Source organism: Homo sapiens, chromosome 8, assembly GCF_000001405.40.
Source record: "Homo sapiens chromosome 8, GRCh38.p14 Primary Assembly".
Classification (NCBI taxonomy): Eukaryota; Metazoa; Chordata; class Mammalia; order Primates; family Hominidae; genus Homo; species Homo sapiens.
The window spans coordinates 96,620,194-96,624,202 of record NC_000008.11 but is presented as its reverse complement, the minus strand read 5'-3'; the positions used below and the strand labels follow the sequence as shown (position 1 = coordinate 96,624,202).

General features: G+C 42.2%; 1 annotated feature.

Annotated features, from left to right (window-relative positions):
- Positions 2,648-2,942: a silencer, noted in NCBI's record as "tiled region #4348; K562 Repressive DNase matched - State 5:Enh". NCBI's record gives its function as "represses a minimal TATA promoter and a strong SV40 promoter by Sharpr-MPRA in K562 cells {active_cell/tissue: K562}" and the evidence as "EXISTENCE:reporter gene assay evidence [ECO:0000049][PMID:27701403]".

The window sequence follows — 4,009 nt, the reverse complement described above, 5'->3', positions numbered from 1 at the left end:
GTCAAGACCACGAAAGTAAAGGAAAGACTGAAGAATGTTTCATACTGAAGGAGACTAAAGAAACCTGACAACAATACTCAACACACTATTCTAGACTGGATTCTTCTCCTAAAGGACATTACTGGGGCGACTTAAGAAACTTGAACAGGCTGGGTGCAGCGGCTCACACCTGTAATCCCAGCACTTCGGGAGGCCGAGGCAGGCGGATCATGAGGTCAGGAGTTCGAGACCTGCCTGACCAACATGGTGAAATCCCGTCTCTACTAAAAATACAAAAATTAGCTGGGCATGGTGGCATGCACCTGTAGTTCCAGCTACTCGAGAGGCTGAGGCAGGAGAATCACTTGAACTCTGGCGGCAGGGCTTGCAGTGAGTCGAGATTGCACCGCTGAACTCTAGCCTGGGCAACAGAGTGAGACTCCATCTCAAAAAAAAAAAAAAAGAAACTTGAACAAAGTCTAAAGAGTAGATGGTAGTGATGTACCAGTGTTAATTTCCTGATTTCATGCTTGTATTGTGGTTGTATAGGAGAATGTCCTTTTTGTAGGAAATACATACTTAAAAATCTAGGAGTGATGGGGCTTCATGTCAGCAACACACTCTCACATGCTTCAGGAAAGAAAAATTATTATTTGTACTGCAACTTTTCTGTAAATCTGGGACTGTTTCCAATTTTCTTTAAAAAGTCAAGAATGAAGGATAACTGGTCCAGTCTCTTCAACACATCTGTGTCATATCAAAGGGACAGATTAAAAGAGGCATCTGGGGCATACCAAGCAGGTGCAAATGTGGTCCTGGGTGGGATTCAAATTTGCATAAACCAATTATAACACACAGTTTAGAGATAACTGGGAAATTTATATATGACTTATTATTACATGAGATGAAACGTGTTGAAATGGAAAAATGTGGATCAGTGACTGAAAAAAAAAGCAGAGAATAGAACAGCAGTAGTATCAGGTGCTCTCATTTTGTGGGAAAAAAAAAGAAACACAAACAATGTACTAGCATAGTAACCTAGTGCTAGTCCTCACTGAGCAATGGGAATACTTTTTTATTCTCTTATTTTTGCTTGTTTTATTTTCAAATGTGTGACAATGTACATGCCCTGTTTCTGTACTAGTAAAAGATACCTTTTAAAGTAAAATTTAAATAACACAATTAGGGAAAAAGAGTCCATAGCGTGGGTATTCACAACCTTCAATAACTTACATTGTTATCAACTGGGACACATGGATGTTACTGAAGACATTCAGGCAAAGTCCCTGAAAAGCATCTCCTTGCCTCTGACATAGGGTTGCCGATTCTGCTACAGGTGTTGGAGAGATGTCTAAGGCGTTTGTATGACTGTATTGGTAAATTGTAATACCATGTAGAAATGCCTCAGTAATCTCACCTGTAAAGTGAGGATGAATATCCTGCCTCAAAAGGCAATTGGGAGGATTAAATGAGTTAATATATCTGGAAAGTGTGGAATAAATGATTTAATAGATGCCAACAGCATGTATGTTCTACAAATACAAAATTTGTGATCATCTCTGTTTTTCTTGTTTCATAAAGAAGATGAAAACAGATATAGCCTTCCAGTTCAGATTAGAATTTGGTTTTTTTATTCACAATTTCTTATACTACAATATAAGAATATATATGAGGTCAAAAATAAGCTGCTAAATTCTGGGTTTAAAATAAGAATATATATAAGAAACGTCTGGCTGGGCGCGGTGGCTCATGCCTATAATCCCAGCACTTTAGGAGGCTGAGGCGGGTGGATCACCTGAGGTCAGGAGTTCAAGACCTGCCTGACCAACATGGAGAAACCCCATCTCTACCAAAAGTACAAAAAATAGCCGGCCGTGGTGGCATGCGCCTGTAGGCCCGGCTACTCAGGAGGCTGAGGCAGGAGAATTCCTTGAACCTGGGAGGCCGAGGTTGCAGTGAGCCAAGATCATACTACTGTACTCCAGCCTTGGCAACAGAGCGAGACTGTCTCAAAAAAAAATAAATAAATAAAAATAAAAATTAAAAAAAACCTTCTGTATGCCAGGCATTGTTCTAAGTGCTTTACAAATAATGTATTTTTAATCATCACAGTAATCCTATGAGGAGGATGATCCTATTAACATCTCTATTTTACAGACAAAAGAAGTAAGCCACAGAGACGTTAGTTAACTTTAACTTTGCCCAGTCAGCCAGCCAGTTAAGAGGCACAGCCAGGATTACAACCAAGCAGTCCATGCTCTCAGCCTCTACCCACGTGCCACTCTCATCATGCCATAACCAAGTACAGGTGAACTCTGATTTAGGTGCCAGTGGCTTTCCAAAAGCTCCCTTCTAAGATAATGTTTCAAGTTCCAAATGTGTTTCCCCCCAAAACAGTATTACAGTATTAAGGTTAGGTTTGGTTCCTTAGGTCAACCTATCTAAGTAGACCAAAACTATTTAACTCACAACATGGCTGATTCAGAGCCACTGTGGCCCCAATACCAGTGTCCCTCTAGATAGAAGATGGTAGATAAGTTTAATCTCCCAACCCAATTCCAACTGATTACTTGTGGCTGCAGGGATCCCTGTCTGGAGAAGAATTCTGAGGTTGGCCTTAGAAGGAGTGCATACTAGAATCAATTAATGATGTCTGAAGAAATAGGAAAAGAAGACCAAAAACCAGATATTTGTCATCTCTGCTCCAGTGACCTTGTCTCTGTCTCTGAGTACTCCTCAATCTTGAGCGCTGAGGAGTCTAGGGAGTAGGGGAAGAGGACAGGAGAACGATACAGAGAGCAGAGAGGGGAAGTAGATACTAGAGAGGCTTCAGCGACAGTGTGGGAGGCCCTGATGAAATCAATGGCTGGGGCAGCTCTGATGTGGGGATAACAGCTGTTCAGAAGTATGGGTAATTTATAAGTCAAGTATTCCCACATCATCAATGCCTGTCAGGCCCTTCCTTACACCCCAGTGATCCACTCATTAGCAAGCAAGGGGAGGTAAGGTATCAATATCTTCTATTCCACTGACATTTTAGAAAGTCAGGCTCAGAATGGTTAAACGACTTGTCACACAGTGAGGCCCAGGACATCAGTCATGAGTTATATATAAATGCAATGTCAGAGTAAAGTGAAAATGAGCACATATAACCCAGCAAGATGATCCCACAAACCACCAGCTTGCGTGCAGAACTGTTAAACTCAAGTTTGGGATGGGTGGAGCCTTGATCCATAGTGCTGAGGTTTTCAGAGTGGACATTAGGATGCAAAATAGACTTTGAATGTGGTTTGCTGAGAACTTGTTTCTCAACATAAACTGGGGGAAAAAAAAGTATTTGATGCTAAAAGTGAGTCCCAAGCTAGGTCCCATTTAGGAGAGTACTGTAGCCCAGCAGGCCTCCAAAATGTCATGTCAGCTTTCGAAGGCATTTCACAGTTGTTGCAACAGCACTGCTGGAACAAAGCCAGGTGGCTTTAGAAGAAGCCCAGTCCCTTAGACATAGATGACACTGCCAAGAGCAAAATAAAAAAGGGCCATTGCCTGGCTTGGCATCTGGATCCTGCAGCTGCCAAATCATATCCATTAGCTATGCCGAAGTAATCCGTGGAGAAATTCCCAATGAGAGGCCCACCAAGCCAGAAAATTGCCTATGATCCAGGCAAGCAGTGGGTTCTAGCTCACCAGCGTGTGCTGAGATTGTTGGGCAACTTTAAGAAAGTCAGCAGAAAGTTTTCAGTTCCTACCTCTTGTTCATAGATGGGCATTTTTGTGAGTGTATGTGCACACACACATGTGCACATACACGTGGGAAAGAGACAGAAAGACAGAGAGTGGGGGAAGAGGGAGACAGAGGGAATTAGGAAGGACAGAGAGATAAAAGCCATTTTCTAACCCCACTGTCTAACAGGAAACTGAGACACGGGGACTGAAATCTCCCTGAAGGGAGAAAAGTCATGCCTACCCTGCTAGGGAGGAAAAACAAAAACAAAGTAAAAACTCTCAAAAGTTGGCCAAGCCGGGCAGAAGC